At 37.2% G+C, this 15,662-nt stretch overlaps 1 annotated feature.

Annotated features, from left to right (window-relative positions):
* Positions 12,981-13,177: a silencer, noted in NCBI's record as "fragment chr4:74563013-74563209 (GRCh37/hg19 assembly coordinates)". NCBI's record gives its function as "represses an EF-1alpha promoter that drives an FKBP-Casp9 reporter gene in an ReSE screen in K562 erythroleukemia cells {active_cell/tissue: K562}" and the evidence as "EXISTENCE:reporter gene assay evidence [ECO:0000049][PMID:32094911]".

Genomic DNA, 15,662 nt, shown 5'->3' on the forward strand with positions numbered 1-15,662 from the left:
AGATTAGCATGCTTGAGGATGAGAAAGAAGGCCTGAGCAGCTGGAGCAGAGTCAGTGCCACATGATAGGCAGGGATAGGCCAGAGTTTGAGAACCCTGAGGGGCCATGGCAAAGGGTCTGTACTTTATTCTAGCTACAGTAAGAAGTTGTTGGAGAATTGAAGCAGGACAACAAAGTGATTTTATTTATTTATTTATTTATTATTTTTTAATTTAAAGATCACCCTTGCTGTTGTGTAGAATAGAAGCAAGGAAACTGTTGTAATAATCCAAGTAAGAAAGGATGATGTTTAGAATAAGGTAGTTGCAGTGAAGACAGAGAAAAGCAGACAGGTTTTAGATGCATTTTGAATATAAATATACGAGGACTTGATCTATTAAGTGGCATTGTGGCAAGGATAGGGAGAAACTGAGGATAAGTTATTGGTGTTTGACTTGAGCAACTAGGTGAATAATGGTCTCATGTACCCAACTGAGGAAGCCTTGGGTGTGAGCTGGTTTGCAGAGGGAAAGAGCTCTGTGTTGGCCATAAGATCCTGGGGAGACCCCAAGACTTCTAAGTGGAGCATTATTGCTAATGATACCTTCCATTTATAGATTATATCATACACTGTTACAATTTCTATTTGTGTGACTGATGGATTGATTGCATGGGCAGATGAGGCGAGCTGGACATGAAGGAGACGTAAGTGAAGAGAGGAGAGGACACAGAAGCAGGAAGGAGAATGTGCTCAAAGATGAGATGATTGTTGGTGACTGCCATGCAGAATCTAGCCTTGGCTCTGCCATGTACCCCTGAGAGGAATATCAGTTCTCTTTCCTCTCCCATGTCCTCCTCTGACTATCTTTATGGGGACTGAAATGAGGCACTTTTCAAAAAAGGTAAGCAATAATTGGCCCATATCTCCTTTCTTATGCAATCCTCATTTATCTTTGAGATGTTATCACACTTGATATATTCCCATTCCAGTTGTCATATTAAAGCTTCTTAGTCGATGAACTTCTAGATTCACTTAGATTTAGGAGCCAGGAAAAGAAAATATTTATTCTAATATGTTGACATTTACCACTCTGATATTTATATTTCAGTAAGTATAACTTGAATGATTTATTTAAAGTATTTTCTAAAACCATAAAGTAACACTGAAGACAGATCATGAATGATGTATTTTCTATTATGTACTCAGTTGCCAACTGAATTTTAATTTTCAGAGGAATGCTATCTTAAATTACTAGATAATATTTATGTCAGTAACTATATTTTTTTTATTTTTTTATTGTGGAACACATAGGAAATAGCAAAGATAGTACAGAGGAGTACAGTGTACCTTTAATCTGGTAACAGGCACTATTTTAAAAATCTGAATATAACACGCCCAACACAGGATAACCCAGATTCATAAAGCAAGTTCTAAGAGACCTACAAAAAGATTTAGAATCCCACACGATAATGGTGGGAGACTTCAACAGTCCACTGATAATATTAGACAGATCATTGAGGTGAAAAATTAACAGATATTTGGACCTGAACTCAACATTAAAATAAATCTGATCGTAGAGAATTATATTTTCAGACCTCTACAGAACTCTCCACCCCAAAACAAGAGAATATACATTCTTCTCATTGCTATATGGCACACACTCTATTAATTGACTAGCAGTCAGACATAAAACAATCCTCAGCAATGCAAAAGAACCAAAATCACACAAACACACTCTTGGACCACAGTGCAATAAATATAGAAGTCAAAACTTTAAAAATTGCTCAAAACCATACAATTACATGGAAATAAAACAACCTGCTTCTGAGTGACTTTTGAGTAAATAATGAAATTAAGGCAAAAATCAAGACTTTTTTGAAACTAATGAGAACAAAAATACAACATAGTGGAATCTCTGGGATACAGCTGAAAGAGTGTTAACAGGGAAATGTATAGCACTAAACACCAACAACAAAAGGGAATATTTCAAATTAACAACCTAATATTACAACTGAAAGCATCAGAGAAGCAAGAGCAAACCAACCCCAAAGCTAGCAGAAGATTAGAGATAACCAAAATCCAAGCTGAGCTGAAGGAAATAAAGACATGGAAAACCATTCAAAAGATCAGTGAGCCCAGAGTAGTTTTTCTGAAAAAATTGATGAGATAGATAGGCTGCTAGCTAAACTAATAAAGAAGAAAAGAGAAGATTGAAATAAACACAATTAGAAACAACAAAGGAAATGTTACCACTCACCACACAGAAATAAAAATAACCATCAGAAACTACTATGAACACCTCTAAGCACACAAACTAGAAAACCTTAAAAAGATGGATAAATTCCTGGACAATATAACCTCCAAAAACTAAACCAGGAAGAATTTGATTACCTGAACACACCAAAAATGAGATCTGAAATTGAACAAATAATAAATACCCTACCAACCCCCCAAAAAGCCCAGGATCAGATGGATTTAGAGCTAAATTTTACCATATGTACAAAGAAGATCTGGTGTCATTTCTACTGAAACTAATTTTAAAAATTGAGAAGGAGGGACTCCTCCCAACTCATTCAATGAGGCCGGCATCATTCTGATACCAAAACCTGGCAGAGACACAACAAAAACAGAAAACTTCAGGCCAATATTCTTGATGAATATTAATGCAAAAATCCTTAACAAACTACTTGCAAACCAAATCCAGCAGTGCATCAAAAAGTTAATCCACAATGATCAAGTAGGCTTTTTCCCTGGAATGCAAGATTGGTTCAACATACACAAATAAATAAATGTAATCCATCGCATAAGTATAACTAAAGACAAAAACCACATGATTACCTCAATAGATGCAGAAAAGGCTTTTGATAAAATTCAATGTCTTTTTATGTTAAGAACTCTCAGTAAACTAGGTATTGAAGGGACAAACATCAAAATAATAAGTCATCTATGGCAAACCCACAGCTAACATCATACTGAATGCGGAAAAGTTGGAAACATTCCCCTTGAAAACTGATACAAGACAAGGATGTCTTCTCTCACCACTCCTATTCAACATAGTATTGGAAGTCCAGGCCAGAACAATCAGGCAAGAGAAAGAAATAAAGGCATCCAAATAGGAATAAAGAAAGTCAAACTGTCCCTATTTGCAGATGACATGGTTCCATATATAGAAAGCCCTGTAGTCTTGGCCCAAAGCTTCTTCAGCTGATAAACAACTTCAGCAAAGTTTTAGGATACAAAATCAGCATACAAAAATCTCTGGCATTCTTATACACTAATGACAGCCAAACTGAGAGCCAGATCAGGAATGCAATTCCATTCACAATTGCCACAAAATAAATAAACAAATAAATAACCTAGAAATGTGGCTAACCAGGGAGGTGAAAGGACTCTACAATGAGAATTACAAAACACTGCTCAAAGGAATGAGATAACACAAACAAATGGAAAAACATTCCACGCTAATGGATAAGAAGAATGTATATCATTAAAATGGCCATATTACCCAAAGCAATTTACAGAGTCAATGTGATTTCTATCAAACTACCATTGATATTCTTGACAGAACTAGAAAAAACATTTTAAAATTTATATGGAACCAAAAAGGAGCCTGAATAGCCATGGCAATCCTAAGTTAAAGAACAAAGCTGGAGGCATAATGTTACCTGACTTTAAACTACAAGGTTACAATAACCAAAAGCAGCACGGTACTGATACAAAAACAGACACATAGGCCAATGGAACAGAATATAGCCTCCAGAAATAAGACCATACACCTATAACCATCTGATCTTTGAAAAAGCTTCCAAAAATGAGCAATGGAGAAAGGACTCCCTATTCAATAAATGTTGCTGGGAAACTGGCTAGCTATATACAGAAGATTGAAACTGGACTATTTTCAAACGCCATATAGAAAAATCAACTCAAGAAGGATTAAAGACAAATATAAAACCTGAAGCTATAAAAACCCTGGAAAACAACCTAGGCGATACCATTCTGGACGTAAGAACAGGCAAAGATTTCATGATAAAGACGTTAAAAGCAATTATAAGAAAGGAAAAATTGACAAATAGAGCTAAACTAATTAATTAAACTAAATGGCTTCTGCACAGCAAAAGAAACTATCAACAGCATAAACAGACAACCTACAGAATGGGAGAAAATATTTACAATCTATGCATCCAACAAAGGTGTAATATCCAGTATCTATAAAGAACTTAAACAAATTTACAAGAAAAAACAACTCCATTAAAAAAGGGGGGCATGGGACATGAAGAAATACTTCTCAAAAGAAGACATACACAGTGCCAACAGTCATATGAAAAAAAGCTCAACATCACTGATCATCAGAGAAATGCAAATCAAAACCACAATGAGATACCATTTCACACCAGTCAGAATAGCTATTATTAAAAAGTAAAAAATAACAGATGCTGGTAAGACTGAGGAGAAAAGGGAACCCTTATACATTACTGGTGGGAATATAAATTAGTTCAACCATTGTGGAAAGCAGGGAGGTGATTCCTCAAAGAGCTAAAAACAGAAATACCATTCAACACAGAAATACTGTAGAACTTGGGTTATATAATAATTATATACTCAAAGGAATAGAAATTGTTCTATCATAAAGACACAGGCACACAAATATTCATTACAATGCTATTCACAATAGCAAAGACATGGAATCAACCCAAATGCCCATCAATGACAGATTGAATAAATAAAATGTGGCATTTATACATTATAGAATACTATGCAGCCATAAAAAGAATGAGATCACGTCTTTTGCGGGAACATAGATGGAGCTGGAGGCTATTATCCTTAGGAAACTAATGCAGGAAAAGAAAACCAAATTCTGCATGTTCTCACTTATAAGTGGGAGCTAAATGATGAGAACTCATGAACACAAAGAGGCAAACAACAGATATTGGGGCCTACTTGAGGAGGAGAGGATCCTAAAAAAATAACTATCGGGTACTAGGCTTAGTACCTGAGTGATGAAATAATCTGTACAAAGAATCCCATGACACTGGTTTATCTATATGGCAAACCTGCATATAGTACCCCTCAACATAAAATAAAAGTATTTTAAAACTATGAATATATTTACCTTTAATTTGAAAGGGAAAACCTCTCCCACAATTAATTGAGTCCTTTGGTGAAAAAATATTCGTTTCTATTGTGTATATATCCAGAGTGGAATCACAGGGTATGCATATGTTGATGACTAGCTGTTTAGTAATAAAAGTGATACATGTTCATTGCATTTAAACATTTAAAATAAAATAGCAAAAAGAAGAAGAAAAAATTAAACTACTTTAATCCAAGAACTCATATAAATATTGTAAAAATGTGTGGAAAGCCTTCCTGTGTGGGTGAAGGGAGAGTGTTCCCAGAAACGGGATAAGCTTACTGAAGCACAGAATTCTAGAAAATGTATCACTTTGAAGAACATAACTTTTAAGAACTGCAGAAATGATAGAATGTTAGAGTGTAAGTGTAGCAGAAGTCTAGGCAGAACTTGGTAGGAGCCTATTAATGGAGGGCCTTATAACACCCAACCTAACTTTAGCCTTTATCCTAAGAGCAATGGGAAAGCCGTCCCAAAATTTGGAGATGAGAAATAACATGATCTGATATGTGTTTTAGGAAGATCATCTCTGCCTGCAGTGTAGAGAATGGCCTGGAGTGTACCAAGACTTGAGGCAGAAAATGAGATTTTCTAGTAATCCAGGCAAGGGATGATGAGTATGTAGACAGGTAAAATGTCAGTGGACACAAATAGGGTTTGGAGGGTTATTGATAGGATTTGGGTGGTGAGACAGGGACAAGTCCAGAAGAGAGCCCAGTGTTCCTGCTTGAATTATGAAGTAGCTGGTGGTTTCATTCACAACAAGAGAAGGGGAGATCTGGAGCCAAGAGGGAGATGATGCATTGGCTTTGGATTTACTTGAGGGAGGTGAATCATAAGCCATGTAAATAAATATGTCCAGGAGACAGTAGAAACACAGTTTCTTAATTCAGGAGCAGTCTAAGAGTTATTAGTAAATAATTGGTTACTTGTGTAAAGGAATTTGAATGAATGAATAAAGAAAAAGACAGAGACAGAAGCCTGAGGAACAGCAATTAAAATAAAATGAAAGAGAAAGAAGACTCTGCAAAATAAACTGAGGCAATTGTAGCCACAGAGGAAATAGTGTAATCAGAACTGTGTAATGTCAGGGAAGGCAAATGAAGAAAGATGTACAGGAATAGGAGTGTAGGCAGCAGGGTCAACAGTTCTGAGTGGTCATATGGAAAGAAGAAGTACTAGATCTGTATACACACTCATCCTACCTAGTTTAATCAATATGAATATTCACATACCTCTAGAAGCATAAGTTTTTCAAACACTGAGAACAATTATAATTACCACTGCCTAGGTGGTAAGAATCTCACATAATATTTTATTTGAAGAAAGTTATTGATAAGATTTGGAGACTGACTTATGTGAGTATGGAATGGAAGGGCCATGGAAAGATGTCAGAGGTGGGATGCCAGGGCACAAAGCACTCTCCATAGTGAGGGGCAAGGGAGGTATAGGGGTATTCCTAACTCTGAACTCCCCTTACAGCCAATTAACACGGCTGGTAGAGAGAAAGGGATAGACAGGCATATTAGCTCATCAACTGGGAGTGATCCCCAGCAGGAGCCGAAGAGGAAAGCTGATGTCAACACTTAAATGAAATTGAAGGAGGGTAAAGGATAATATTCTGGAGGAGAAAGAGGTGACTTGCCAGGAAACAACAAGTGCTGAGAGGATGTGGAGAAATAGGAACACTTTTACACTGTTGGTGGGACTGTAAACTAGTCCAACCATTTTGGAAGTCAGTGTGGCGATTCCTCAAGGATCTAGAACTAGAAATACCATTTGACCCAGCCATCCCATTACTGGGTATATACCCAAAATATTATAAATCATGCTGCTATAAAGACACATGCACACGTATGTTTATTGCAGCACTATTCACAATAGTAAAGACTTGGAACCAACCCAAATGTCCAACAATGATAGACTGGATTAAGAAAATGTGGCACATATATGCCATGGAATATTATGCAGCCATAAAAAAGGATAAGTTCATGTCCTTTGTAGGGACATGGATGAAGCTGGAAACCATCATTCTCAGCAAACTATCGCAAGGACAAAAAAACCAAACACCGCATGTTCTCACTCATAGGTGGGAATTGAACAATGAGAACACTAGGACACAGCAAGGGGAGCATCACACACTGGGGCCTGTCGTGGGGTGGGGGGAGGGGGGAGGGATAGCATTAGGAGATATACCTAATATAAATGACGAGTTAATGGGTGCAGCACACCAACATGGCACATGTATACATATGTAACAAACCTGCATGTTGTGCACATGTACCCTAGAACTTAAAGTATAATAAAAAAAAAAGAAAAGAAAAAAAAAGAGAATGTATTTGCATATCACTTCTGTAATTAAAAATATAATTAAAAAAAAAGAAAGAGATGACTTGCAATGTGTCTCTTTCTGGCATTCTACACTGGCTGTCTTGTATGCTCTTATCATCAATAATCCTTAGGAAGCAAAGAAACACACCACTAATCCAGTGCTTTTCAGTGATAAATAGCCCTAGTAGAGTCAAGGGTATTTAGTGTATGACAGTTTAGATAATGTTTTTGATTTGATTCAAGCCAGAGTGTTTAATGGCTTAAAATTGGAACATTTCCCTGCCTTTTTTATGTCTTCCAGAGAGGGAGGTAGAATCTCTCACTACCTTTCTGGATATTATTATCATTTTTTAATTACAAGAAATTGAAAAAGAGAAGACAGAAAAGACCCCAGATCTCACACTCTGGGACTATGCTAGGCCTAGTGGATCCAGCTGCCAACAGCACGTGTGTTGTTTTCTTCTTAACCGTATTTGCTATTTTCTTTTGTTCGATTCTACAAGCACAAGTTGTGCAAAACCACTTTATGCCATCATATGGAGGAACACAGATGAAAGGCATGGCTTTTTCTTCTTCAAAAGCAGACAGTTCCATGAAGGCAGTGTCAAAATCCACCATATTTATGTCTATACTCCCAGCACCTAGTACATAAAAGGTGCTTAAAAATATTTGCCTAATGAACATACGAGTATTGCACTGAGGCCAGGCACATATCCAAGTAAGTTTAATAGAGACACTGTGATTCATGCTGTAAAAGCAGCACAGATATTGCTGATAATATCTGCAGGGAAACACTCAGATATCTGAACACAGGCACAAAACACAATCTACTTCATATTAATAATAAGCAAATAAAATTGTAGATTCATATGATGTGAAACTCAAAAATACCTTTAAGATCATCTTAGATACATTCTTGTTTCAAACTATGTCAAAGCTACACATGTTACAGGGACTCAACAATAAAATACCTCTTAATCCATGTTCTGAGGCTGAGTTTATAACGTCTGTTTGGACACTGTCATATTTACCTGTTAAAATTTGAAAAGCTTGTATTTTGCAGATCTCTCTTTGCAATAGTTGGTTTCATGTCTACAGTATTGAGTTATTCTATGGGAACCGGAAACATTCCTACCAGGTAAATATTTTGAGTATATTTGACAAAGAAATACAAGAGTGTCTGTGGGGTGACTTCACTAAACAATCAATAGAAATCAAACACTAAAACAAACAATGCAACAATATGACTGTGTGCAATGGCTCTTTGAAAAGTTCTATTTGTGAGCTGATACACTTTAATTTTTATAAAAAGTGAAGTCTCTTAAATTATAGTCTTCTGTAAAGAGATGAAGAATTAAACTGATTTCAGGGAAGCCATTTAGAATTAAACTTTTCCTTTCAAAGAAAAATTCTTGGGCAAGAAGGATAATTTAACAAGTATTTCTATTAATTCCATTAGCATCAGAACAGATTGAGGCAATCTGTTGTAGAAAAAGAGAAATGTATGAAAGGCACTCCATCCCTCCCCTGTACCAGCCCTGCCTCTGTTGCCAGTGCTATTATCTTTGGAGTTTCTATTTCCTCATCAGATAGATGAAGGAGTTGGGTTAGATTAGTTGTCTATAACCATACAATTCAAACTCCTCCTTAGCATAATAAAAATTCTGTATTATTCTTTACTATCCAGAATTATATTATATTATAATAATTATATTATTATTTACTATCCAGATTATACTGCAGAAGCAATATTATCTCTGTGCACACAAAATTTAGTGAAATTGAATATAATAATCTATCTATAAGGTAGAAATAAAGGGAAAGCAATTTATATTTAAATAATATGTATTTTATTATATAAACATTCTGGAACACATAACAAAGCAGACAGATGCTTGAGCTTTTTTATAATAAGTCTACATTTGAGAGAAGCATGTAGAGCCACTCAACATAAGAAGTATACAGAAAAGAAAGCCTAGAAATCTGAGTGTGGACAATAGAATTAAAAAAAAATTGGGATAATTAATATTAGACCTGGCTGATTTGTAGGTGACAAAAGAAAGGAAATGAAGAAAATTAGTATGACGTTTTTGTCAAAGTCACCAGAGATGTGTTGAACACATCTCTGGTGACTTTGACAGCTTTATTTGCTGTTTCTTTGAAAAATGTTATTTAATCAGGATGCTTTTACTACTTCATTTGAAAAAAAATGTTGGCAGAGTGAGCACATTGGTAATTCAAATTCCATGGGGATATAAATGAAATAGCAAGAGCTAGGAGGGTTGTTGCCTTTTATGGTGTGATCAGAAGGCCTCTCTCAAGAGGGAACATTTGCACAGAGAACATAAAGAAGCAAAAAAGATGGTCTAAAGCAGAGGAAGACTCTGAAGAAGTGTGTTGACATGTGCCAAGCAACTACAAGGAGGCCAGCTCAAGAAGTCTGCAGCAGATAGCCCAACACAAAGTGTGGTTGTGGCAGAGGATGAGGCAGAGAGGTGTGTGGGGAGTACTGGAAGTGGAGTCTTGAAATGGTGTCTTGAAAGCCACTGTATAAACTTCTGACTCTTATCTTAGTTAGATGGGAAGCCACTTAAATTTAATGTTGAGCTAAGTAGTAACATGATAAGCATTGCATTTTTACGGGAGCTTCTATTTCTTTCATTGGTTCAAAAATGAATGCGTTTATATTTGAAAATAGTGTGTAGGGCTGTAAAGGAAAATGTAAGTAGACCAATTTGACCAATTAGTAGACTATAGCAATACTGCAAGTGGGAGATGCTGGTGGCCTGGGCCTTAGTGGTAGCAGGAGAGGAACTAATAAGTGATTGAAATTTAGATATGTTAAATAGGAGCAGATAGAAGTTGCTGGTGTATTGTGTGTGGTCATGGGACAAAGGGAAGAGTCATGACTGAAACCAAGGTTGAGGCTTGAGCAACTTGAGGAGGGGACTAGGATTTATTGAAATGGAAGACTTAAGCAGTAGAAGGGCTGTGTGCAGGAGAGAAAACAGGAGTTGAATTTGCCATATTTGAGATGGCGATTAGGCATTCCAATAGTGATTGTGAAGAGGTAATTGGATAAAGAAGTATGGAGTTTGGAAAGAGGTCTGAGCTGGAAATATAAATTTTGGATTTATCAGTGTAAGATGGTATTTAAAACTATGAGATGACATGAGATTGTTAAGGGAGTGAATGCAGGAGAAAAGAGAAGAGGAGAAGGCCTGAAGTTAATGAAGTGGATTTATTTGTGGAGACTGAGCAAGAGTAGCAGAAACGTATAAAGGGAATCAAGAGAGAATGGTTTTCTGGAAATCCAGTGAAGATATATGCTTGTAGATCAGCTGTGTCCAGCATTTCTGATTGGTCATGATGAGGACTGATATTGACAATTGTCATTAGTAACACATCTTTGGTGACTTTGACAATAATTGTTTTTATGGGATAGCGAGGATGAAAGCCTTAATGAAGTAAGTTCAAAAGAGAAACAAAAACTAAGACAGTAAGTGTAGACCCTTTTTTGAAGAATTGTGCTGCAAGTGGTAGTAGAGAAGGAAGAGGCCCAGAGAGTTTTTGGTTTTTATTTATGATTTTTTAAGATGTGAGATTATAGAACTTTGTGGATAGATGGGAATAATCTTCCAGAAGAGCGCTATCCAACAGAACTCTCTGTGAGATAGAAATGTTCTATCATTCATGTCCATGCTATCCTATAGAGTAGCCGCTGGTCACATGTGGTTACTGAGCACTTGAAATGTGGCTAGTGTAACTGAGAAACTGAATTTTAAATTTTATTTAATTGTAGGCCATTTGAATTTAAATAATCACATGAGTTAGTGGCTAGTGAATTGGACAGCATAGCTCTAAAGAGAGGAAAGTTAATGAAACAGAAGAGAGAAGGTCAGCTGCTGCAGTGATAACCTTGAATAGCTGAAAGTGAAAGAAATCCCATAGAGTTGAAGGGGTTGGCCTTAAAAAGGGGCATAGTAGTTGATTCACTGTAACAGAAGGTATAGAAGTTGGTTCAGATACTGGCATGTTGGTAGAGTGGTGGTGGTGGGTGGACGAAATTTCTTTTCTGATTGCTTGTTTTGTTAAGTGAAATAGGAAGCAAGGTCTCTAGGCTGTGTGAGACAGTACAAAAGCAGTGTTGGAGTAATAGAGAGTAGAAGGGTTTTCCAAAGAGCTCCTTGAGATTAGTGGTCACGAATTTAGAGACACCAGTTTTTATGGTTTTATGTTTTTCTCCACTCATATTCAGGAGGCCAAGGTGCAGCTGAATTTACTTGGAATTAGGACTTTGGCAGAAAACTTAATCAAAGGAAAAGGGGCAAGGGAAAGATTAAACTGAAGGACCATGGAGGCTAAGCTGGTTAGGAGCAAAGCAAGAACATGAGGAGATAAAGGACAGTGAAAAGGTAGAGGAATAATGGATTGTAAACACTTTTACCTTATTAAATAAATGACTCAACATGGAGATTTTGAAGATGAAATTCTAGGTGTTTCTTGCTATCATCAATGGTCCAACAGTTTTTTTTCCTTTTTTTTACGGTAACAGTTGCAGGGGAATTTTGGATTTTTTGCATTCGTTGTTTCAGGATTCCATATGGTTGTTTTCAGGAATCCACTCCAAGTGAATTTTGTCCAATTTTTAAAATACTAGAAAAACGGCAAATTTCCAGTTTCTACTAACTTTGTGATATGTATGCACCCTGTTTAATGCTTTGTGTTTTGAAGGACAGTTTTGTACTCTCAGAATCCTGCAGGTCAAATATTATTTATACATATTACTGAGAACTATTCACATACTTTGTTTGGTGATAAAATTTTAATTAAATCAACATTATTTTACATAAACGAGTCATTTGTTAAGGCTTATAAATCTTTGAATTGTACACAGAGCTTCATTTACACATATGTATCTGGAGTGCAACCCTTTCATGACACACTTTTATGCAGACAATTTGCCTTATCTTGTGTTATTGAGTCACAAAAGCACATGGAATAACAGATGATGCTTTTACGAGATAAGAAGTGGTCATTAGCTCTGTTGTATACCTGTCATATTTAAGATCAAGACCCATAGCAAAATCAATACCATAAGTTTACAATTCTGGGTTCCCAACCTGCCTTTAATAAAAAGTCCATCTTTTATCTACTGCCTCTCAAACACTTGTTGCTTCTGAGTCAAGGCCTTTTTAGTATCTTCAAGGTTTGTGTGACGAATATGAATTTTACATTAAAATCTTAAGTATATGGGAAAATTCACATTCCTTTTACACATTCAAGTGATATTAAATTTGACCCTTACTCCCCATTCCACCAGAACTATGGGATATTTCATTTCAGTCTTTAATGGGCTCCTTGGTTTCTATCACCTTACTTCCTAGACACTTCTAAGGTCCCAGGAAACGTGTACAAAACAAACAAACAAACAAACAAAATCACAAAAAACATTTGGAGAATGTCCCCGTTGTCTTGCTATTCCTAAAAGACACATTTTCCAAACCCACAGTGTCCATTGAATTGCAGAGCTGCATGTTTGGAGCACCGAAAGCCAAAGCATGGAACACAGATCAGGAGACCACAGTTGGAGTTCAGAAATTTTTGCCAAGTTGAAAACTCCAATCTTGGGTCTAACTTTCCTATGTATAAAATACAACCATTTTCCCAGAATCCTGTCACCTCTCTAGGGACCTGACAGGAGAGGTCCATGGTCCTCATTCTGAGTAGAAAGTCATATGTTTATGTACTTCTTTTCTTTTTTTCTTTTTTCCTTCTTTTCTGAAATGGAGTCTCGCTCTGTCGCCCAAGCTGGAGTGCAATGGTGCGATCTCAGCTCACTGCAACCTCCGCCTCCTGGGTTCAAGCGAGTCTCCTGCTTCAGCCTCCTGAGTAGCTGGGATTATAGGCGTGAGCCACCACTAATTTTTTTTGTATTTTTAGTAGAGATGGTGTTTCACCATGTTAGTCAGGCTGGTCTTGAACTCCTGACTTCGTGATCCACCTGCGTTGGCCTCCCAAAGTGCTGGGATTACAGGCTTGAGCCACCGCATCCAGGCTTATGTATTTCTTAGTCCTGGATAATGTACCTTCTCTTTCCTTCTCAGGTCTCTTTCTGCTCAAAGATACTCTTCTCTTTATCCTCTCCACTCCAGAATTGCTATGATAACCTCAATTACTTTAGGCTTTTACAAAAAATAAAATGCTTTATTTAGATATATTCTGCTTTAGACCCAATTAATTTGGAGCTCCCCTAGGGCAAGAGAGTACAAAGTGGGCAGGGAGCACAAAACGTAAAACAATGACTCCATAAAGTATGCTCCCCAAGCTTGGAAAGACCATCTCCATGCTGATCTGAGCTTTGGCCCTGACCTACCTGCTATTCAGTTAGTCATGTGCTGCAGGAGAGTAACAAATGCAGCACATTCTGAAATTCTCATTCTTAATGCTGTTATTCACCTGAGTAGGGTAATATCTAATTAGAGCTTTGCCACTAAAACTTACTGTGGCATCCAGTTGCACGTAGCAGGACTAACAATGTACCCTATTGCTTATTCCTGGAAGAAAACAATAGCAAATTCCAAAGGCCTGTTCTGGCAGGACTGCAGCCAGAATGACCTACTTCTCTAATGCCCTACTGGCCTACTAAAATAACTGAGGTTCTGAGCTGTGTCATAAGATCACCTACAATAACAGCTGCTCAGGAGATCAAGCTCCAAAGGAGGAAGCACATTTCTGCTTCACTGAGTTGAGCCAGAATCTCCATTTAATGGTGCTTTCAGTGAAGACAAATGTGGTTCAGGGGAAAATAAACCTCCTAATTCATGGGGCTGACAATATAAGACTTATAACAAACGGAAAAACTCTTTTTGACCTTGTGAACAGACTCAGAGATAGGCTCTTGAGTTTCTCCAACTCTGTACTATATTTTTTAGATATTGGCTATATATTTTATTTTTTTTTTAGATTTCAATAGCTTTTAGGGTACAAGTAGCTTTTGATTACATGGATGAATTGCATAGTGGTAAAGTCTGAGATTTTAGTGCACTCATCGCCCAAGTAGTGTACATGGTACTCAAGATGTAGTTATTTCACCCCTTACCTCCCTCTAACCCTCCCTGCTCTGAGTCTCCAAAGTCCATTACATCACTATCTATGCCTTTGCAAACCCATAGCTTAGCTTCCACTTATAAGTGAGAACATACGGTGTTTGGTTTTCTATTCCTAAGTATAAGCCAGTATAGTTCACACATTCATTATAATAGCAGTCCAATGTTTTAGCTTCCTGTTTGTTAAAATAAAAATTTGAAAGCAGAATAAATCGACTTTCTTTTTAAAGTAGACCTCAGTATTTCTGAATGATCAATGCTTGGAAGCAAGATCAAGTAATTATTTTAAAACTGTCCAAGGCCGGGCATGGTAGCTCACACCTGTAATCCCAATAGTGTGGGAGGCTAAGGCAGGTGGATCACTTGAGGTCAGGAGTTCAAGACCAGCCTGGCCAACATGGGGAAATTGTCTCTACTAAAAATACAAAAATTATCCAGGCATGGTAGCGGGCACCTGTAATCCTGGCTACTTGGGAGGCTGAGGCAGGAGAATCGCTTGAGACCGGGAGGCAGAGATTGCACTGAGCTAATATTACTGAGCTCTGTCACTAGGTGACAGAGCAAAACTTCATCTCAAAAACAAAACAAAACAAAAAACTGTCCAAAACTTACTTCGTGAGCTTCCGTAGTAAACATAGATTTATTTATTTATTTTTTTTGGTGGGGGGCATACTTGTTCATTGTTCTAGTGGCACGCTCCCTAGACAGGTAAAGTCAATTCTGGGACTGATTCTTTTTCCTTAGGAAATCTTAGATGTTTTGAAAAATACTCCAAAGGTTTCAAACTGGAATATTATGAAACATCCTGTTTAGAACCTTAAAAAGGGAAAGGTATGCATAAATATTATATGGCGATAGTTTTCTCCTTCTCTTTTCTCCACTTTTCCTCCTCCCTCTCCTTCTTTTCTTTCTTCTTTTTCTTCTCTCCATCCTTTCCTCCTTTTCTTTTTTCCCTCCTCTTCCCCTTCTTTGTCTTCTTGTTCTTTCCTCTCCTCCCCCTGCTTCTCCTTCTCCTTCAGATTATCTGTTTCCCCCAGCCTACAGGGAAATCTGGGGTTCTGTGTAGGGCAGTGAAGGTGGTGAGTGGGGGCATCCTTTACTTAGAGAAAAG

This window comes from Homo sapiens, chromosome 4 (assembly GCF_000001405.40).
Source record: "Homo sapiens chromosome 4, GRCh38.p14 Primary Assembly".
NCBI lineage: Eukaryota > Metazoa > Chordata > Mammalia > Primates > Hominidae > Homo > Homo sapiens.